Source organism: Homo sapiens, chromosome 15 (assembly GCF_000001405.40).
Source record: "Homo sapiens chromosome 15, GRCh38.p14 Primary Assembly".
Lineage (NCBI taxonomy): Eukaryota > Metazoa > Chordata > Mammalia > Primates > Hominidae > Homo > Homo sapiens.
Window position 1 is genome coordinate 23,152,884 of NC_000015.10, and position 23,145 is coordinate 23,176,028.

Sequence of the window (23,145 nt, forward strand, 5' to 3'; positions counted from 1 at the left end):
GAGAGGCTGATCCTAAAATTCATACAGTCACTTGAGGGGCCAAGAATAGTGTAACAGGGCTGGCGGGGCTGGTGGCTCACACCTGTAGTCCCAGTACTTTGGGAAGTCAAGACTGGAGGATGGTTTGAACCCAGGAGTTCAAGACCAGCCTAGGCAACATAGCAAGATGTTGTCTCAAAATATTAAAAATAAATAAATAAATAAATAAAAAGAAGGTTAAGTATGCACATTTTGTTGTGAATTTCAATTTTATAGTGATTTTTTTTTTTTTGAGACAGGGTCTTGCTCTGTCACCCAGGCTGGAGTGCAGTGGTGCCATCTTGGTTCACTGCAACCTCTGCCTGGGCTCAAGCAATCCTCCCGCCTCACTCTCTGGAGTAGCTGGGACCACAGTTATGTGCCACCACACCTGACTAATTTTTATATATTTTTTTTGTAGAGACGGGGTTTTTCCATGTTGCCCAGGTTGTTCTCAAACTCATCCACCTGCCTTGGCCTCCGCAAGTGAGATCACAGACATGGGCCACTGTGCCCGGTCTAGTGCGCTTTTTTTTTTTTTTTTTTAACCAAACAAACGATGAAGTCTCAGGAGTAAAAGTTGATACACAAGTAAATTTTATTGGTAATGTTTTTGTGTGGTCTTTAAGCAGAGGGAAAATTAGTCTGCATTATGGTGTATCCAGACTAAATAACTGATATTAAAATGAAATTATCCTTAGGATTTGCAATCTTAGAGAAAACTTTTTCATTTTTTTTGAGTTACAAATTATCTTCACTTACATTTGAGAACAGTGAGTCACAGAGGGATTAAGTATCTTACTCAAGATCTTGCAAGTGTTTGGTTTGAACCCAATCTTTTCACTCTGCAGAACTCAGAGTCACTCTTATTTGGAAACTTTTTAACTGATGTGGATCCTCTAATATGGGCTTCCTATTATTCATTCCGTATTAGTCAGAAGTTTTGCAAGCAGGCAGAATTCATTTTGCCAATTACGGGATTTTCCCTCAGTTGCAGTCAAGGTTCATAAAACTATAACTATAAATTTTGTTTTTGAGACAAAGTCTTGCTCTGTTGCTCAGACTGGGATCCAGTGGCACAGTAACAGCCCATTGCAGCTTTGAACTCCTGGGCTCAAGGGATCCTCCGCCTCAGCCTCCCAAGTATCTGGGACTACAAGTGCATGCCATCATCCCTGGCTAATTTTGTTTAAAAAAAAAAATTGTAGAGATAGGGTCTTGCTTCGTTGCCCAGGCTGGTCTCAAACTCCTGGCCTCAAGCAAGCCTTCAGCCTTGGTCTCCCAAAGTGCTGAGATTACAGGTGTCAGCCATTGCACCTGGCCAAAACTGTAACTATATATACACACACACATAACTACATATATATGTGTGTGTGTATGTATGTGTGTGTGTATATATATTTTTATATATAAATAGATATATCTGAAAGGCATCAAAAGAAAAAAGCTGTAACTTTTAGTCTTGATCTTGATAGTGACTTGATTAGGCTATCTGTTTAACATCAAAGATGCAAATTAATGCTTTCTTTGGGTGAGCATATTAAAAATGCAGAAAATATTGGAGTAGTTTTTTATGTTAAATAAATTGTATTCTGTGTATTTAAGGTATACAACATGATTTTGTGGGATGCATATAGATGGTTAAAAAAATTACTACAGTGAAGCAAATTAACGTATCCTTCAACTCAGATAGTTACCCGTTTTCTTTTTGTTTGGTGGCAAGAGGAGCTTAAAATCTCATTTAGCGTGAATCCCAATACAGCACAATTTTATTACCTATATTTCTCGCGTTGTACATTATATTTCTAGGCTTGTTCATCCTACATATCTGCTACTGTGTAACCTCTAAGCTATGTCCACCCATTTTCTCTCTTGCCCCCCAAGTAATTTCCTAAAGTGTCTCATATAAAAAGGCAGTAGCTTTCAGCTTAAACTTTTTCTCTGTATATATTTAAGTCAATTTCTTTGAGGTATGTTTTTCTCTCCAGAATAGTTAGATGTAGGCATACCACTTTAATGTTGACACTAGTTCACCTAGAACTTATCTTCTGCAAATCTGTCTCTATGTCCATCTCTGTCTCCATCTTTGTCTCTATCTTTATCTCTGTCTATCTATCTATCCATCCATCCATCCATCCATCCATCTATCTATCTATCCATCTATCTGTCTATCTAACTAAAGCAAATTCATGCCCTTCTCCTATTTATGGAATCGAGACCATAAACAGAGGTGAGGGAAAGAATTTGGCAGGAATTGCGATGTGTATTACCTGTGGCATAAGGAAACTTTACAGAACTAGGGTCAAAAGTATACTTTCTAGTTCTTTCCCATGGCTTTTCACTTTGATGTAGTCCTTATCAGGCAACTGAGGTTTTATATAAGTCCCCTGATTCTTAGAACATGAAGGTGTAGTATTCAAGTTTGGTCCCTTGAAAGCACAATTTTTGTTAAAAAAATTTAAGAAAATTGTATGATTTCCTCAGCAAATACATATTGATCATCTGTTATACAGCCATGAGAAGTGGTTCTGTTGAACACGTTTATTTTATCAGATCCCAATTCTAAACCAGGCATAGAATGGAAACCATGAAGGTAGGATGAAATAACTTCTGAATGTTTGAAAATAGTGTACTTAAAAATAAATATCAGGTGTTTTTGTTTTGTTTTTTGTTTTTTGTTTTTGAGACAGGGTCTCACTCTGTCACCCAGGCTGGAGTGTGATGGTGCCATCTCACCTCATTGCAGCCTTGACCTCCCAGGCTCGGGTGATCTCCCACCTCAGCCTCCCAAGTAGCTGGGACTACAGGCACATGCCACCATGCCCAGCTAATTTTTTGTATTTTTTGTAGAGACAGGGTTTCACCATGTTGCCCAGGCTGGTCTAGAACTCCTGGGCTTAAGCGATCTTCCCACCTCAGCCTCCCAAAGTGCCAGGATTACAGGCATGAGCCACCATGCCTGGCTGAAAATACCAGGTTTTTAAGTATCAGCACTGCCTCTTCAATCTTTTCTATTACTATGTTGTGCTCAGTGGTATTTTTTATTGAATTAGAGCAGTGCTGTTCAATGGAACCTTCTTTGAGGATGGAAATCTTTTATGTCTCTGCTGTGTGGGTATGGTATTAGCTGGGTATGGGGCACCTGCCTATAGTCCCAGCTACTCAAGAGGCTGAGGTGGGAGGATCACTTGAGCCCAGGAGGCCGAGTCTGCAGGTTCGTACCACTGCAATTCAGCCTGTGTGACAGAATGAGACTCAGTCGCAGAATAAAATGAAATAAGGAAATAAAAATGTAATTGTTGAAATAAGAAACTAGTGGATGGATTAGACACGAGAAGAAAGAATTAATTGTTTAGGCGATTCTCTCCAAAAAGTAAGTCAGCATGTCACACAGAGAGACATGAGGATAGATGATAGGGCAGAAGTTGGTGGGCTTGGAGGGGAGAGGAAGATCAGAATGAGGTCCAAAATGTGTCTTAGTGAAATCCCAGGAGGAGATATTAAAATTATATTAGAAAGTGAAAGAAATAGAAGTTTTATTTATTTATTTATTTATTTATTTTGAGAAGGAGTCTCGCTCTGTAGCCCAGGCTCGAGTGCAGTGGCACGATCTGAGCTCACTGCAAGCTCCACCTCCTGGGTTCACGCCATTCTCCTGCCTCAGCTTCCCAAGTAGCTGGGACTACAGGCACCCACCACCACGCCTGGCTAATTTTTTGTATTTTTAGTAGAGATGTGGTTTCACCTTTTTAGTCAGGATGGTCTCAATCTCCTGACCTCATGATCCACCAGCCTCAGGCTCCTAAAGTGCTGGAATTATACGCATAAGCCACTGCACCCGGCCCAAAAGCTTTGTGTTTTTACAAATATTACACATGTTTCTTGTTTAAGAAAAAAAGTCTTCACAATAACGTAGGAGAATAAGAGAAACATTTTTCCAAAAAAGAGAAGTCATTGTGATTATTTTATCTTATTGGAATGTTGGATAATACAGTCTGCTTCAGTAATCATCAAGCATGCTATGGATTTTCCATTTTCATAGGATCTGTATCTCGGTTAAGGTAATACTGGTAATTTTTGTACTCTATGAAAAATATAGGCCAAAATCATAGACCTTGCATAGAAGCTGGATCATGAAGACAGCTCTGGAGGAACACACAGGTACACACACACAGACACACATATATATAAAGTATACACATATATATTTTTTAAAAGCTTTTAAAGCAAAAGCCGGCCCTGCCCCTCTCCCAGAGTTGGCGGCCTCTCCCCTCTCTTAGAGTGGGTGGGGACAGTGGTTGCATGGGCAGCTTTCCTTGTGAGCCAAAGGTCCCTCTGGACACATGATGCCTGGCCACGCCCCCTTTCCCTTTCATCTTTCTCATTAACCAATGGGCTTGGAGCATTAAGGCCACGCCCCTATTCTGCCTTCTACTGCATCCCTGGTTACGCCTCCTCTGGCTCAGTCGCACAGCTACCTGGTAGGTGACTGGAGGTGTTGATCAGTGCTTGGTGGGATTTTGCTGATGTGGCCCCAAGCCCGCCTCCCTCCCCACCCTGCAATGGCAGAAGAAACTCGACAAAGTAAATTGGCAGCAGCCAAGAGAAAGGTAAAAACACACCAGGTCACGGACCCCCAACCCAGCCATAGATCCTCTCCAACGACAAGACTGCTGCCAGAGTCCATACCAATCCCGAGGTTCACCGGACTGGGACCCCCACACCGGTGCCTCTGGGCTACCCCCACCAAAGTTTTGCCAGTCAGCCCCACCCCTTCAGCAAGCAGCCCAGTCTCTGCCCTCACCAATCACCCCAGGGTGACTTTGGGCAGGTGAATCCTGGGGCTCCCCGCTCCTTTACTGGGCCCTCATCTCCTGCCACCCCAAGCTTGACCTCCCAGGGCTTTTTGGGCTCACATCTCCAAGGACCTGGGTCCCACAGCCCCAGACCCCACCCTCACCAGTCATCCCTGGGTGACTTTAGGCTGGTGAATCCTGGGGCTCCCTGCTGCTGACTCTTCCCTTCCCTCCTGCTGCCTCAAGGTGGACCTCCCTAGGCTGTGTGCACTGGCGTCTCCAAGGACCTGGGTCCCAGCTCTGTTTTTCCCTCCCCTATCATGGAGCGGTGACTCGGACATCATGCTGATGTGGTCCCTCCCCCTCACCAGGAAGAGTGGAATGTAGTGATGTCATGGTCCATCCAGTAACTGTCATTACTGCGAGACTGGCCTTTGATCTTATGACCCAGTCCCCTAAGCATTGCCACCCCATTTCTGGTTCCTCTTGTCACAGCACAAATTTCCAGCTGGAAGGGGAATGGAGATTGGGACCTAGGAGCAAGAGGTTTCAGGCTGCCTCACTCCCTTAACACAAACATTGACAGCGGGAAAAGCCTACACTTCCCCTGTGAGCTCAAAACATTGACAGTACCTCTGGATGGCAACTGGAGAATGGGTTTGACTTGGTTTGGTTTTCTCCCAGGCTTCTACTTTCCAGAGAGATTTTAACAAATTTTTTGTGAGTTCTCCACCTCACATTCTAATTCTCCATGGTTCTGGGACCAGACTGCCCTTCAGTCAGTGGTCTGTGAAGTGAGATTTGCTCATCTTCTGTGGAATAGATCTTGGGAAACTGAACTTGACAGCTTGAATCTTCCTCATATTATGTAAACCTGGGGTACTTTGAGTGCCACAGGATACATATGGGACATCTTTCTGAAGCATCAGTTTCCATTGATTCTCTTGAGATCAAGAGAAAAAACATTAATGTACTTAGGGATGACAGTCACATAGGTTTCTAAGAGTATACCAGACCTCTCTCTGAAATGAGGCTTGGGTTGTCCTCTTTCTGATAAATTCCCAGATTTAACAGAAAGGCTGCCTTCTGCCATGAGGATACATTGATATAAGAGTTTGAGAGGTACTGGTGCACTTCTTCACACTAACAGACGTGTGAGGATGTATGACTCTAAACCACATGGCATACAGTTCCTGCCTACTTAATGTTTACTTTTCTACCTCTGCCTCTGGTTTTGGTCCCTGGCAGCTGCTGATTCTTGGTAATACCCCAGAGTTTGGAGTCAGAAGACTGAGTTTCAAAGTTCGTCTGTCGCCTTTTTCTTTTCTTCTTTTTTTTTCTAGCCATGATATCAATCTCTTTGAGTCACTAAATGATTGTGACAACACCTTGTACAGTTGTTGGTGTCATTAAATCAGATGGTGTATAAGAGTATTTTATAAAAACTGTAAAGGAGGATGTGGCTGCAGGGGCTGATAGTTCTCATGAGTATTACTGCTCTTGTTTCTGACAGTTAAAAGAATATTGGCAGAGAAACAGCCCTGGTGTTCCAGCAGGAGCCAAGAGGAACAGGAAAACAAATGGCAGCATCCATGAGACAGCCACTTCTGGTGGTTGCCACTCACCTGGAGATGTGAGTCTTGGCTGACTAGGTTCCTGGGGACAGGGGACCCAAGGGGCACTAGAGGGTAATTGTTAAGATTGTGGATGGACTGTTGGGTACCTGTGAAGAATTCTGGGTTTGAATCCTGCCTCTTTGTCTGCTAGGGATATGAATTAGGGCAAGTTGCTTGACCTCATCGGGCCTCTCTTTTCACATCTGTATAATAGAGGTGGTATTGTTTCACTTCCATTTGTGAAGTTTAAATGAGATTTGTTATTGTTGTTTTTATGTTAATCCCTAGTACATGGCCTGCTGTAAACACCCAGAACACCCAGGATATGGTCATTGCTGTTCGATTTTCCTCATCCCCAGTCTCAAGGGGAAGCCAGGACAATGAGAACAGTCACTTGGCACAGGAGTCACTGAAAGGGCCGCAGGGTGCTGTGGTGGGGAGATAAGAACCATGAGAGAAGTTGGCACAAAGGAGTTATGGGACAAAGGGTCCAAGATAGGCAGAAAAGAAAATTGTGCCAGTTGATGGGGAAGAAAAGAAGTCAGAGGGCTTAGATACTGAGTGGGACAGAACATCTTCATGTGCACTCTCATCTCTTGTAGTCAGCAACAGGTATCCACGGGGAGAGCCCTACATCATCTGCTACCCTGAAGGATCTGGAGGTAAGAGGCTCTGGGCAGAGGTGCAGTGACCCTGCAGGGCAGCCCTCCAACCTCCTCCTCCAGGTGGGACGGGGTGCCCCTCTGCCAGCTGAGACAGTCCACACACACCCCAGCCCTAATGATTGCTCTCTCTACCTCTCCCCCCACTCCTCCTCCACCTCCTCCTCTCTGCATGCGCCTCAGAGCCCGTGCCAAGAACTAGCAGTAGTCCCAGACTCGAGGTCCGTAAAAGTCAGTCAACTGAAGAACACCATCAAATCTTTGGTAAGAGTCCACTGGGGTCCCCTGATTCCACGCTGCCAATCCTGGGCTCTAGTTTCCCCTTGGGGCCCTGAAGAAAGGGGACGGCGGCCCCTGGTGCCAAGGGCGAATAGGGAGCTGGGGCGCCCAGGCCTCACCTGGAGGGACCCCGGAGCATGCAGCATGGCTCTTTTTTTGCTGCCCTGTTTGCTGACTCTCCCCTCTCCAGACGTCCCTGCTCGAGTCCTTGCTACACACGCCCTGGGATTGTTGCCTCTTGGGGAAGTGCTAGCCTGACTGGTTGTCAGGGGCCCTGTATTTCTGCCATGACTCAGTCCCTAATTTGCTCTTTGATTCTGGACAAGCCACCTCTCCTTTTTGGGCTCGTGTTTCCAGAGGAAGTAGTGAGTATCATAGGTCTCTGTTAGCTCTGAGAGTCTGAGATTTAAAGGCCTCCTAGAATGGAAACCTCAGGGCCAAAGGCTCCTGTCTGTCCTTTTCCGCCCTAAATCTGCTGTGAAGAACCGTACTTGGCCCGTACGTGCTCAGTAAATGTTTATTGAATGAATGCACTTTTCTAAATCACAAGCTGGCAGAAGGGGGGGCCTTTCTCAAACTCCATCTCTAGAGGTTTATGTTACTGTCCTGTCAAGAGATTCCAGATTCAGACCTTGAGTTCTGTGGCTGTGGACAAAAGCCAACAAAGACCCAAATCCTCTGTCCTTGGGAGCTTGAGGAGAGTTTACCAGTTCGTGTTCCCACTGGGTCTGAGAACTTTGCCTTTAAAATCCATTCCTGGTCCCTGCCTACCACTTCCTGCTCTGGGGAATAGAGTTGAGGGGGCCACCCTCCATCACCTTAATGTGACTCTCCCCACAGAAACAACAGAAGAAACAAGTGGAACATCAGCTGGAAGAAGTAACATGATTTCTTTGTTTGCTCGCGACATGACTGCTCGGTTTGGGGGACACTCAGATGTAGAGGCCCCGAGTCTCGTCTCACCCACTCCCAGCCTGGGGAAGAAGGCTCACCCCCCAGAGTCCACCCCATCCCCCACAGGGTCCCTGATAACCCGGTCCCATGGGTGGGCCTGTCCCGGGGCAGGGGCAGTGGTGGCATTCTGGGGACATGTCTCTTGCAGTACCATCTCTGCCTCCGCCTGGTTAGATCTCTGTCTTCCACTTCCTACAGGAAAAGAAAGCAAACAACGAGAAACAGAAAGCCGAAAGGGAGCTAGAGGTGAGTGGACGGTGTGCAGTTTTCTCCTGTCCTCCGGAGAATGTTTCTTTCCTTCTCTTTCAGCACTTGCTTGGCTTTTCTCCCAAAGGTTCAAATCCAGAGATTGAACATACAGAAAGGGAAACTAAATACGGACCTGTACCACACGAAACATTCTCTCAGATACTTTGAAGGTGGGAATCTGGGTACCCTGTCATCCTTCAACCTGGGACTTTGACAGGTCTTCAGGGGGAGTCCTTTGGGCCCCATCTCAACTCTCTCATTACAGAAGAGTCCAAGGATCTGGCCGTCCGTCTGCAACATTCATTGCAGCGTAAAGGAGAGTTAGAGCGGGCTCTCTCTGCTGTCACCGCCACACAGAAGAAGAAGGCGGAGAGGGTGAGTCCAACCACCTGCCCCGTCCCCTGGTAGCCTGGCTTCACAGACAGAGGAGTGAGCCTAAAGGTCCCTTCTGCAGGATGGAGTGTCCTGCCCAGAAGGCAGCATGGCCATTTCTCACTGCTTTTTTGTATGGTTGTTAGCGGCAGCTTGGGACTGAGTCAGCTGCTGTGGGTGAGTTGGGGGGCACTCTGGGGAGAGAACACAGGACGTAGAGCTTGGAGGCCAAGTGCCTGCCATGCCTTTACCTGGCTGTGGTCTTGGCCAAGTCCTAAGTGGGGTATTGGCTACTTGTACTGTGAAGGTACAGAAGAGTACCTTTAGTATGTTACCATTTCTGTAGAGAGAGGAAACGTGTGTGTGTGTGTACATATTATGATAATATACATAAAATATGTTTGCAAGTGTTCATAAAAACTCAGGAGAGAGCAACAGGGTGGCTGGGAGATACTTCCCTTCTGTACCTTCTGAGTCTGGGACTATGTGAATGTATTATCCTTTCAAAAAGTGAACAAAAGATTAATTTTCCCCTTCCTAGCTGTGCCCCCACCCCCAGCAAGAAAAATGGGCTTAGAGAATTGGATAGATCTGGGTGTTTAAATCCCAGCTCTGCCTAAGTGATCTTAGGCAAGCACTTAACCTCAAATACTCCATGTTTTTTCATCTACACAATAGAGGTCATCATAGTAACTGTCTCCCATGGTGGTTGCGAGGATTAAATGGGATTGCTAGCATGGTATCTGGTGAAGCACTCCATAAAAGTTCAAACAGTGGTAATAATAACAGTAATAACAATAGCAATATTATCTGATCTCTCTGGGCCTCTGTTAGCCAGCTATAAATTCGATCTCTTTCCCTGTCCCTTCCAACTTTACTGAGTTCTTTAAAAACCAAACCACGGGCTTGGAAATGCCTTGATCTTTACTGACCGAGTTGTATATTGGGCCTAGCCCTGGCCCTTTTAAGGGGCACTGTGTGGAATGGCCCGGCCTCCCCAGATTGAAACTTCTCACTCTTCAGCAGTTCTCCAGCCGCAGTAAAGCACGTATGGAGTGGAAGTTAGAGCAGTCCATGCGGGAGCAGGCACTGCTGAAAGCGCAGCTGACACAGGTGAGGTGTTCAGAGGGAGGGATGTGGAAGGAAGATGACCCCAGGTAACCAGGAGCAGGTGAGGACCAGTGACAGCCCTTCCTAATTTCTGTGCCCATTCTTGCAGTTGAAGGAGTCACTTAAAGAAGTCCAGCTAGAGAGGGATGAATATGCTGAACATCTAAAAGGAGAGAGGGCCCGGTGGCAGCAGAGGATGAGAAAAATGTCGCAGGAGGTGAGATCTGACCCTTCAGCCCCCCCCACATTAGATAGGTCACTGGATCTTTCTGGGCACCTGTAAAATGGGAATAGTACAGCCAGAGGTGGTCATGGGTCTGGGCTTTGTGGAGGTGGGGGCAGAGAGAGAGATGGTAGCATGTCCAGCCTCCAGCCCCTCTCTCCAGGGCCCTTTCCCCCTGTGCTTTGGGCAGGTTTGCTCGTTGAAGAAGGAGAAGAAGCATGATAAATATCGGGTAGAGAAGCTGGAGAGGAGCTTGTCCAAACTCAAAAACCAGATGGGTAAGATGGGGCTGGCGTGACCTGGCAGCAGGACTGGCATCAGAGGGCTGTGAGGGTGTCTTGGAGTGCCCCAGCGAGGTGGGTGGATGGAAGGGCTTTGAGGCAGAGGGAAAGAGGTCTGTGCCAGGAGACGGCAAGTCTTGTCATCTCAATGAGCCTCAGTGTCCCCATCAGCAAAGAGGGCCCGTTGTCAGCCACCCGCAGTGCTCTTTCTCTGAAAGTGCTTTGGAAGACTGGCTACCCATCTGGGTGCGAGGAATCATTAGCAGTGAGGCTAAGTTTGAGGAGCCGGAGAGGAGCTGTGCGCCAAGAGGAGGGTTTTTTCTTTTCTTTTCTTTTCTTTTTTTTTTGGAATCCAGAGGCTCTTATTATCTGCTTCCTTTCTCAGCTGAACCTCTGCCCCCGGAGCCCCCAGCAGTGCCCTCTGAGGTGGAGCTGCAGCACCTGAGGAAGGAACTAGAGAGAGTGGCAGGAGCGCTCCAGGCCCAGGTGGAGTACAATCAGCGCATAAGTCTCCTGAATGAGGGGCAAAAGGAGAGGCTTCGGGAGCAGGAGGAGAGGCTTCAGGAGCAGCAGGAGAGGCTTCCAGAGCAGGAGGAGAGGCTTCGGCAGCTGGCCGAGCCACAGAACAGCTTCAAGGAGCTGGTGCGTTGCCCCAGCTGGGGAGCCTGCCCTCCTCCCTAGCCCTCCAGGCCTTTGTTTCCCCACCTATAAAATGGGGCAGTGTAGCCCTCAAGTGAAATGTTACTCCTAAAGGCACCTGTGAGCCAGAGCCCTGCTCTGGTGGCTGTGGGAGACAGGGGATGATTTTTCTAACCTGCCTCCACCCTTCCCGGTGCCATGGGAGGCAGTCACCAAGTTCTGGGGTCTCCAGCTGCAGTGGGTGGCTGCTGATTGCTTCTCTCTGTCCAGAACAATGAGAACAAGAGCGTACTACAGTTGGAGCAGCAAGTAAAGGAGCTGCAGGAGAAGCTAGGCAAGGTGAAGGAGACGGTAACCTCCACCCCATCCAAGAAGGTCTGGGAGGTGGGCACCAGCCTCTGGGGAGGGGAGGTGCCAGGCCAGAGGCAGCTCCAGCCCGGGGGCAGGTGACCCCAGCACCCTCCAGGGCAGTCCTGTGGCTGTTTCTTGCTTCCTGCCCTCTGATTTTAGAGGTGGGTAGCCCTGGGCTCCTCCCAGGTCTGGACATCATCATTCCAGCTAGAGACATGGAGCACCCCCAATCACAGGGGAAGAGACAGAGTGGTATAACAGTCTTCTTATGCCAGACGCGGTGGCTTACGCCTATAGTGCCAACACTTTGGGAGGCTGAGGCAGGAGAATCACTTGAGGTTTGGAGTTTGAGATCAGCCTGGCCAACATGGTAAAACCTCATCTCTACTAAAATTACAAAAACAAAAAACAAAAAAAGAAAGAAAAATTAGTGGGGCATGGTGGTGGCGCATGCCTGTAATCCCACCTACTCAGGAGGCTGAGGCACGAGAATTGCTTGAGCCCAGGAGGTGGAGGTTGCAGTGAGCTGAGATTGCACCACTGCACTCCGGCCTGGGCCACAGAGTGACACTCTGTCTCAAAACAAAACAAAAAGACTCCTTAGATTAAAACTGGATTCCAGCCTCAGTTCCACTGGTCACCATTCAAGTACTTCACATCTCTAAGTCTCTGTTTCTTTAACTTCAAAAGGAAGTTAGCATTTTCCTTACAGAGGTGCTGAGGATTAAATGAGATAATACATGGGAAGCATTAGGCCTGTAGCACATTTAGCAGATGGTGGTTGGCTCCCACTACTTTTCTACCATTCTGTGGCCTACAGTTGAAATGGTGGGAAGAGGACATGAGATTTGAGGCTGGGGAAGGAGGCATGGGGTTCTAGGAAAGGGAGGCAGTCACTTAGGCCTGGAGTAAGGGGCCAGGGGCCTGGGCAGGCGACAGAGCCCCACAGTGCCCTCGCTACCCTATTAATGGGCCCAGAATCTGGAAACCAGCCACCACGTGCCCTCACACCCAGGGTCTTCCTGCAGGTGGAGCTGAAGAGCCAAGAGGCTCAGAGTCTGCAGCAGCAGCCAGACCATTACCTGGGTCACCTGCAGCAGTACGTGGCCACCTATCAGCAGCAGGTGGCCGCCTATCAGCAGCTGACCTGTGAGAAGGAGGCGCTGTACAGGCAGTGACTGCAGCAGACCCAGCTAATGAACCAGCTGCAGCAGCAGGAAGCTTGGGGCAAAGCGGTGGCCGAGATGGCCTGCCAAAAGTTGCAGGAGGCCCAGGGGAGGGAGCTGCCGAGGATGGGGCCGTGAGGGGGACGACCTGGCAAACTCTGTGCCTTCTCACTCTTTCCTGGCCCCTTAGGAGCGTCTGGAAGCTGCCAGCCAGCAGAAACAGCAGCTAACGGCCCAGTTGAGCCTCATGGCTCTCCCTGGGGAAGGTACGGGAGACCGCTCAGAGGAAGAGGAGAGAGCCCCAGGAGGAAGGGGGGACTGCTAGCAGCATAGGATTGAGGAGTTGGAAGAGACCTTTAGAACAGCTGGTCATTATACTAACCGGGTGCCTGCACTAAGTTCAGCATCAATATGGTGACCTCCTGTGAGCGGGGGGCCACCAAGTTGCCTAAGGATGGCTGAACTGGCCGAGGTCAGAAAGGGAGCAGGTCAGAACTCCCGCACCGACCAGTAGTGGGAATGTGCCTGGGCAGTATAGCAAGATCTTGGTTCTTCAAAGTAAAAATAAATAACAGCAGCTCATTCCTCTCTGGGGAGGGCCTGGCTCAGGGTTACACAATGAGGGTGGAGGCAGAGGTGGGCCCACAATACTTCCCTTGTTGAGTTGTCTGAAGACCCCTCTGGCCACCCCCCACAGGACACGGAGGAGAACATCTGGACAGTGAGGGGGAGGAGGCACCTCGGCCCATGCCGAGTGTCCCAGAGGACCTGGAGAGCAGGGAGGCCATGGTGAGCCTGACTCCCCCTGCACCCATTTTGCCACCTTTCTCTGTGGTCCCTCCAAGACCCCTTTATGCTCTTCGTTTCCCTGCCTTCTGATTTCTCTGGACCCTCACCCCTTCCGAGAGCCAGTGGTCAGACACCATTTCACCTGTGACCAACATGTGCAGTCTCTGGGGCCCCAAGGGAAGGGGCTGCGCTCCACCTCTCTGCCCCATTTCTTCTGTGTATGCCCCTAGAAGAATGCTCACATCTTGCCCTCAGGTGGCATTTTTCAAGTCCGCTGGAGCTAGTGCCCAGGAGAAGCAGGCACAGTTACAAGAGCAGGTGAAAGAGCAGAGGGTGTGCTGCCAGCGCCTGGCTCACCCGGTGGCCTCGGCCCAGAAGGAGCCAGAGGCAGCGGTCCCAGCCCCAGGGCCTGGGGGCGAGTCTGTGAGTGGGGAGACCCACCGGGCCCTGCAGGAAGTCATGGAGAAGCTGGCCCATGCCGGAACTCACCTCCGCCTTCTCCATGACTTGAAAATGCCACCTGAGGGCAGGTCGCTGGCGAGATGTGACCCCATTATTTTGGCTCCAGAGCGGCTTTATGGACCACCTGGAGGAGAAGGCAGACCTGAGTGAGCTGGTGGAGAAAGAAGAACTTGGATTCTTCCAGTACTACAGAGAGGGATGCCATCAGTGAGTGGGAGGCCAGGGCATGGCAGGGGGAGCTGCAGGGCTGTTGGAGGGGCCCCAGCGTCTGAGCCCTGTCCTCCCGCAGGAAAGTTTATCACCCTATAACAAAGCCAGGGGGCAGTGCCAAAGATGCAGCACCGGGAGGAGGACACCATCAGGCTGGCCCTGGACAGGGAGGAGATGAAGGTAGAGTGTGCAACATCTCTGCGGGGGTGGGGGTGGCTGTGACGGTGAGCGCTGGCAGCAGCGTGACAGCTGAGCACCCCTCCCTCCAGGTGAAGCTGCTGGAGCTGCAGGAGATGGTGTTGCAGCTGGTGGCGACTACAAGGGACACAGCAAATTCTTGGTGACTGCCCAGAACCCTGCTCATGAGCCCAGTCCAGGAGCCCCAGCCCCCCAGGAGCTTGGGGCTGCCCACAAGCATGGTGGTGAGTAGAGCCCTCAGGCGGGGTGGGCAGGCAGGAGCAGGGGGGCTCTCACTGAGCTCAGATCCCCGCCTCCCTCTCTCCAAAGATCTTTGTGAGGTGAGCCTCACTGACAGCGTGGAGCCTGTGCAAGGAGAGGCCAGGGAGGGTTCTCCCCACGACAACCCTACTGCACAGCCGATCGTGCAGGACCACCAGGAGCACCCAGGCTTGGGCAGCAACTGCTGTGTGCCATTCTTTTGCTGGGCTTGGCTGCCAAGAAGAAGGAGATAAACATGACCATCGTCAAAGAGCTGCTCAAGAAATTTTTAAAAAAGAAACAAAGTTATGGGGTTAATCTCCTACACAATTCATTTACTTCGTTTGAATGTTATAGCCACTTATGATTATTTGTGTTTCTAATTTATAGTTTAAGTTTATTTGTAAATAGTTAAAAGAGAGTGGGTCTCTGTGGCTTTCACTGATGTTCACTCTGGCATACTTTCGCAATTTTCTTTTTCAATTTCATGATTGTAGGTCATTAGCATGCATATTGAGTTTGCCCTTACGTGGTGGGAGTTCAAACACACAAAGACCCACTATTTGCACAAAACTATTCTTGCTGGTTTGGAATAGGCTGCCATGTGTTTTTAATGTTATTGAAGCATGTATATTCATTACAGAATTCAGATAAAATTTGCCTATGTTCTGCTATTGTTTGATCTAATCTTAATCACAGTGAGCTCTTCATTAGCACAATATGTGGTTTGCCCCAAGTTTGCACTATTTAATACTTTGTAATATGCCACCAAGAGTACTGACATTTAGAGTTGTTTAAAGGCCGAGAACTGGAAACAGCCTTTCCCTCATTTTCTGTGTATTGGTGATGGGAGTAATAACATTTTGGGGGAGCTTTTTAAATTTCACAGAAGAGGAAAGTTGCCTGCTCTGGCAGGTATGTGCAAGATAGAGTGTGTTTCATTTGTTCTGTTGCCAAGAATTAGTGCTGTACTATTGTAGTTCCTTTAGGATTTGTATGTGCTCTGGGCTCATGAAGATATTGCATCATGAGCTGCAGCAGTTGTACTCTTTTTTGATGACCTAAAAAGGGCTTATTTCTGAGGAATGAAAGGTTCCCATCATTGACTATGGATGTGGAAAACCTTTCCTAGCTTAGAGCATTTGTATCTATATTTTAAAGTCAGAGTTCATGTTACCTGTTTTAATCACATGACTGCATGTCCCAGTACACAAAAGGGCACTGGTTGGCATTCTTCTTAATGTATTTAGTAAAGATCAGAAGAAATCCTTTAAGAGTTTAAATGTCCCTGGAACACGCATACAGGCTCTAGTCAAGAATGAATTAGAGTGAAGGAAAGCTGTGTGACACCTGGCATTCCTCTGTTCATGGAGCTTCTTTGAGGCTTGAAGATTGATTTTACCATCTAGACCACTCTGCCTATTCTTCAACCACCTTGGTTACTTTGACATAGGAATTGACTTCTTTTCCTTGAATGGAAAACACTTTGAAATAATAATAAACATTGTTATAAACTAATATATGTGAGAGTGCTTAGTTGAAACAAAAAGGAGTTTTAGTAGACAGTATTATACTATCTTTGAAAATCAAGGAGAAGTTTATGCAACTTAAAATGTGTACAAACTGCAGTGCAATCTACTGTTGGTGAATGTCAGTGTATTATCAGGAAACATGTCTATACAATCACAGAGTTATATTTCCTCACAAACTTCTTTGTGAAGAGTGAAATGTGTTTCTGTACCTCTGGGTTTCACTTACGGGCATATTTTGTGCAGTATTTATGTGATTGTGCCTATGCATGATGAATGAATGAATTTCAGTTGTACATTGCCTAAATCATAACTTGATGATGCTTGGGAAAGACTCAACAGTTAAAACTTCATGAAGTTCTAATGTCTGTGTTCCAAAACACATCACATTATTAGGATGTAGGGAGATATGTATGTGTGCTCCCTGGGGTGGGGATTTCTAGTTACTAGACCATCTCCATTTTTAGCAGTTGGCATCCTCATGATACTTTTATAAATACGACATTAACAGGAGAGCAGCAGTACGATTTTGCCGATGGAATAACAGATTTGCCGGCAATCACTGAAAGAGTGCAAATATCGGGTCCTTGTGACTTCAACGGACTCTTCCAAATTGTATGAATGTATCAATGTATTAGATAAACCCAGTTTCAGAATGATAAAGAAAAAATGTTAGACCAAATAATGCGGCTAGTTAACAGTGGTACGATTTCTAGCCCGTGGCTTTAAAATGCACTTAAAGTCCTGTCCTTGCCTTTTATTTTCTGAACTTGATGTTTTTGCATTCTTTGAGTTCAGTTTAAAGACAACTACGAGCATCTGTAACCAATCTGACAATAATGTGTTCATCAGGTGCCTATGGATTAAATCACATACTGGCATATTTAAGCTGAATGTCAATCTGGAAAATAAATTGACTGTATTAACAGAAATACCACTCTTTGTGTAGATATTTGTCGTATATTTAAGAAAAAGCTAAAAAGAATGGAAATCGCATGACTATAACTTAAGTCTTTCTTCAAAGTGCATTGCAGTCTTTTGCGATACCTCATTCAGCCAAGTATTGGTATTCTTCCTCATTCGGTATAAGGCAGCTTTCAATTTGCTTAGAAGGCAACATTGGAAGGTTAGAGTTCATCAGAAACAGAATTCTAAAATGTGAGTTCAATTCAATAAATTTGAATTTCTGTAGGAAGAATCAAATCACCGATTTAAAGAGTGCAATATATAATAATCATTTTTAAAGTATTGGATTAAATCTGATAGGTTTTCCAGAAATGAACAAAAATCAGCTCTAAAACCAAAGCTGATTTTTAGAAAATTTGAAAATGTAAATCAGCCCTATCCATACTATAGTTTCTCTAAAACTTTATCTGAAAGAGTCATTTTAAAATAACTATTAAACAATGTAACTGCTATCTTAATGTTCTGAAATAAGTTAAAACATTTTAAAATATGAATACTGTAAAGGAAATAAATGGTGGGAAGGAAAAGTAGAGAAAGAAATGCCAATTCCAGTCCAAAGCTTTATTTGCCAAGTTTTCTTAGAATGAATTTTACCAATTTATGAATTCTTGTAAGCGGAATGTAAAACGGAAATACTGAAAGACTTTTGCCTAAAGTGGCATTATTGACTGCTGGTGTGATGCTACTGTAATGTAATAAATTATTAAGTTGTTGCAAAGTGCTGTTTTTGCCTTAAAATTTTATTCTGTGTGTCTTGAAAAATATAGTATTAAAGGTATTGATACTGTGCAAATGCTGAGCATGCTTGGCATGAGATAATGTTTCATTTTTACAAAATTGTAATATAACTATGCAAGGGTTTATTAAAAGAACACAAAATAAAAAAGTTATGGGATTAACAAAAGTTATGGGGTGAAAAAGTTATGGGATAAAAAATGTAAAAAAGTTGTGGCAAAAAAATCTTGTGACCAAAAAGTAGAAGAAAGTTTTATGAAAAGTTACCAAAAAAAGTTATGAAAAAGAAGTTATGGGATTTAAAAAAAAAGGCATGGGATAAAAATAAAAATAAAAATTAAAAGCAGGCCCCTGTCAGCAAAGCCTGGAGAAGTGGGGCTGGGGTCTCTCCACCACCACACTGTCCCTATCTCCCCTTCCCAGTCACCCCTTTACAATTAGGGTAGCAAGACAAGACCACTGTCTAACGAGGAAAGACAAACAGACCCTTTGCCACCTTGACCAGAGCTGAGTCCTTAAATTTCTGGATGATATTGTTATTTAAGAGCCAGAGGCTGGTGGAGTTGGTTTGTTTGGAGGAGGCCTCATGGCCTCCTTACTCTCACCATAGCAACTTTTCCCTCAGTGGGGGCTCCAATCTTCTTATTCAGAGAGGTAGCTGAGGCAGGACAGTGGGGCTAACTGTGGACCAGGCGAAGGCATGGGCTGCTGGGGTGGCCCCCCTTCCCCGGTGTATATATTGTGTCTGTGTAAGGTTTTGTATATTCCAGAGGGTAGGGCCACCCCTGTATCATACCTAGCGGTGGTTGGAGGTGGCACATGGGGAGGAGGTTCTAATAATTATTTGTGGCTGGGAAACTTACTTATTGCTAGCATAGGACAGAGGAAGAAGGCAGGGATGGGGTCATGGCTTCCCAGTGGTGTGATCACAGTTCACTGCAACCTCCAACTCTCATGCTCAAGTGATCCTCCCACCTCAGCCTCCCAGGTAGCTGGGAGTATAAGCATGCACTACTATGCCTGGCTAATTTTTAAATTTTTTGTAGAGAAAAGGTCTTGCTATGTTGCCCATGCTGGTCTTGAACTCCTGGGCTCAAGCGATTCTCCCATCTTGGCCTCCCAAAGCACTGGGGTTACAGGCATGAGACATTGCTCCTGTCCATAAGATTTTCTCTTTATTACTGTTTTGTTGTTGGTGGTGGTGTTTTGTTTTGTTTTTATTTTTTGACAGAGTCTCGGTCTGTTGCCTAAGCTGGAGTGCAGTGGTGCAATCTCTGCTCACTGCAACCTCCGCCTCCTGGTTCAAGCAATTCTTATGCCTCAGCCTCCCGAGTACCTGGGGTTATAGGCATAAGCCACTGCGCCTGGCTAATTTTTGGATTTTTAGTAGAGACAGAGTTTTGCCATGTTGGCCAGATTGGTCTTGAACTCCTGGCCTTAAGCAATCCGCCCTCCTCAGCCTCCCAAAGTGCTGGGATTACAGGTGTGAGCCACTGCTCCTGGCTAAGATCCCATCTCTATTTAAATAAAAAAAGAAAATTCAGAATCTATGGAACACAGAACACCAAAGGCCAGTTATTTACCTCTCTGAGGTAATCTGTGTAAACAATTTGATATATATCCTTTCAAGTTCATACTTGCTATGCATACATATATATACACACATACATTGACATATTCCCCCTTCCCTGCTGTCATGCTATTAGTCTACTTTTTTTTGTAGAAATTGGACCAACTCTATGTTCTTTGCTGGCCCGTATTTCTCCTATTCAGTGATGTGTTATGAATATCTGTTTAAGTCAATGTATGCAACTCTTTAATATCATTTTAAAAGGTTACGACATACGATCATATGAAGGCATTAGAATTTATTCCAACAGTTCCCTTTTGCACATTTAATAATTTCCATTGATTTGCCAGGAAGAACATTCTCGTGTCATGGCTAAATCCTTTTGTATGGACATCCTTAATTATTCCCTTAAGATAAACTTTTAAATAAAGTTGCTAGATTAGTCTCGTTTCTTAAGTTCCTTTTTGGTAGTTTATATGTAACACTGTAGTTTTATATGTACTTACAAATACCTATAGTGCCAGTAGAAAATGGGATAAAATTAAACTCTTTCACATATGCCAAATACATTTTGATTTAGCGCTTTATTAACTGCATGATTACAGTCTCTGTATCTTTTGATTTACCTTTCTATCTTTACAATTTTCAGCCGAGACACTTAGCGGTCACATAATAAATTAAGGTTTTCTTTTTTTAATAATCTCCATCTTTCTAAATATGGTGAGTCACAGTCAGCTATTTTTGGATTGTTGAAAGCTGTGACTGTTCTAAATCGGAGCCCAGAAATCATGCCACTTACCAAATATGCTTTGTCTTCCAACATCAGAGTGTCTGGTAGAAGGTGACTGTTCTTGGAATTTAAAAAATCTGAACAGGACAAGACAAGAATCTGGACACTTTTTCTGTTTCTGATAATATGATTGAGTAGGTAGACATGCTGGATAATCCTTGCAAAGACATACTTGAACTTCCCCCAAAAAAAAATAAAATCCAGAATCTCTAAGAATGAAGATGGAGTGAAAATCAGAAGGGCTGCTGAGAGAATAATGGGGAAGCAGCCCCAGTTATCAAGGGACATGTCCATGTGTTCAATAGAAAGTTTCAGATGTAAAAAAAAGTTGAGAAAAATAATATATATATTATATATAATAAATGATATAATTGCCCTACATATACACATCATCAACAATTTTTCATTCATGGTATGGACAGTTTTTTTTTTTTTTTGGTTGTTTTTTGTTTGTTTGTTTGTTTTTAAAGGTGGGATTTTGCTGTGGTTGCCCAGGCTGGAGTGCAGTGGCATGATCTTGGCTCACTGCAACTTCCACCTCCCAGGTTCAAGCGATTCTCCTGCCTCAGCTTCCCGAGTAGCTGGGATTACAGGCACCCGGCACCACATCCGGCTAATTGTTGTATTTTTAGTAGAGATGGTGTTTCACCACGTTGGCCAGGCTGGTCTTGAACTCCTGACCTCAGGTGATCCACCTGCCTCGGTCTCCCAAAGTGCTGAGACTACAGGCGTGAGCCACCACACCTGGCCACAGCCAGTTTTGTTTCATTTATATTCCCACTTCATTTATATACATTCCTTCTTCCTCTGAATGATTTTGAAGTAAAACCTATACATCCTATCATTTTTAATTACCTTATATGTATCTGTAGAAGACAAGGAATTCTTAAAAATAAATATATTCACAATGCCATTAAATATCAAAAAATTAATATTCTGAAAATAGCCACAAATCCAGAGTTGACATTTTGTTGACTTTCTCATAGGTGACTTTTTTTCTAGTTTATCTATTTCAATCAGATAACTGTTTGCTCATATTTACATTCCTTACTGAACAATGTCTAAACTTAAACTGACATAAAATGGAGATGATCTTCTAACCAGATGCTTAGTGTAAGAAAAAACTTCAAACTGCAAGAGGAGTCCCTCCAAATACAGAAAGGACCAGTATTTTAAGAGGTATGTTAACTAAAATGTGGCAATGTAAGGAGCAAAGCAGGAAGAACCTTTAAGTCCTCAACTTACAAGTCAATTTCATAGTCAGTTTCCCTGGTCCTTCCACAACAACCTCCCCCATCTGTTTTCTCTACAATGGAGGTAACAATAGTAGCTATTCCAGAGCAGGAAAAGGCTTAGAGCAGTGCTAGAAGAGGGTCGTGGCTATATAAAGTTTAGCTATTTGTGTATTGTAACAAACCACCTTTTTTTTTTTTTGTCAATAATAGATTTCTTTTGTAAAAGTAGCAGCCTCCTGTCTGGGGACAACTGCAGTTCCACTAAGTGAACATTGGTGTCTGCTAACCTTTGCCTCTATTTCTCTCAATATACTGTGAAGCTGTTCCTGGATTTAGCAATTTTATATACTTCTTTTTCTTTATTATTCTTTTTTTCCTTTCCCTTTTCCTGAGACACAGTCCTGCTCTATCACCCAGTCTGGACTGCAGCAGCGCCATCATGGCTCACTGCCACCTCCACCCCGGGCTCAAGCAATCCTCCTGCATCAGCCTTCAGGGTAGCTGGGAGTACCCAGGGGGGCCCACCAGGTCTGGCTAATCTTTGTGGTTTTTGTTTTGTTTTTCCGTTAAGGGACTGGGTTTCCGGCCAGGCACAGTGACTCACGCCTGCAATCGCACCACCCCTGGAGGCCGAGGCCGGCGGATCTCCCCAGGTGAGGAGCAGGAGACCAGCCCGACCAACATGGAGAAACCCCATCTCAACCTAAATAAATAAATAAATAAATAAATAAATAAATAAATAAAAGTAGCCAGGCTTGGTGGCTCACGCCCTTGATCCCAGCCACTCAGGAGGCTGAAGCAGGAGAATCACCCAAACCCGGGAGGCGGAGGCCCGGCGAGCCGAGACCGCGCCACTGCACTCCAGCCTGGGCAACAAGAGGGAAACTCCGTCTCAGAAAAAAAAAAAACAGGTTTCACCATGTTGCCCAAGCGGGTCTGGATCTCCTAGGCTCAAGCGATTTGCCACACTCAGCCGTCCAAAATCCTAGGATCACAAGCGTGAGCCATGACGCCAGGCCGATCTATTCCTGTCTGATTAAAAATTGGGCCGGTTGCGGTGGTTCACGCCTGCGATCCCAGCACCCCGGGAGGCTGAGGCGGGCGGATAACCTGAGGTCAGATTGAGGCCAGCCTGAGTAACATGGAGAAACCCCATCTCTACCAAAAAAAAAAAAAAAAAAAAAAAAAAATTAGCAGGGCATGGTGGCTCACGCTTGCAATCCCAGCCACTCGGGAGGCTGAGCCAGGAGAACCACCCAAACCCGGGAGGCTGAGGCTGCGGGGAGCTGAGACCCTGCCACTGCACTCCAGCCTGGGCAACAAGAGTGAAACTCCCTCTCAAAAAAAAAAAAAGAGAGAGAGAGAGAGAGACTGAGTTTCACCATGTTGCCCAGGCCGGCGTGTAACTCCTAGGCTCAAGCGATCCGCAGCGCTCGGCCATCGGAAGTCCTGGGATCACAAGCATGAGCCGCCACGCCAGGCCCATCTGTTCCTTTCTCATTAATAAATTGCGCCCGGCGCGGTGGCTCCCTCCTGCAACCCCACCACCCTGGGAGGCCGAGGCGGGCGGATCACCTGAGGTCGGGAGTTTGAGACCAGCCTGACCAACATGGAGAAACCCGTCTCTACCAAAAAAGAAAAAAAAATAAGCTGGGCATGGTGGCTCACGCCTGCAATCCCACCACCCCGGGAGGTCGAAGCAGAC

At 46.0% G+C, this 23,145-nt stretch overlaps 2 pseudogenes across 1 annotated transcript; both read left to right on the forward strand.

The window, feature by feature from the left end:
* The first annotated feature begins 4,456 nt into the window (after nucleotides 1-4,456).
* Nucleotides 4,457-17,900, forward strand: GOLGA8DP (golgin A8 family member D, pseudogene; annotated as a pseudogene). Its single transcript, NR_027407.1, has 18 exons — nucleotides 4,457-4,628; nucleotides 6,328-6,447; nucleotides 7,033-7,092; nucleotides 7,276-7,356; nucleotides 8,212-8,571; nucleotides 8,660-8,744; nucleotides 8,840-8,949; nucleotides 9,970-10,059; nucleotides 10,166-10,273; nucleotides 10,470-10,557; nucleotides 10,946-11,202; nucleotides 11,470-11,538; nucleotides 12,907-12,982; nucleotides 13,414-13,505; nucleotides 14,074-14,174; nucleotides 14,257-14,357; nucleotides 14,447-14,599; nucleotides 14,685-17,900. The product of NR_027407.1 is annotated as a golgin A8 family member D, pseudogene (transcript).
* RN7SL106P (RNA, 7SL, cytoplasmic 106, pseudogene) lies at nucleotides 13,014-13,303 on the forward strand (annotated as a pseudogene).
* Nucleotides 17,901-23,145: the final 5,245 nt, after the last annotated feature.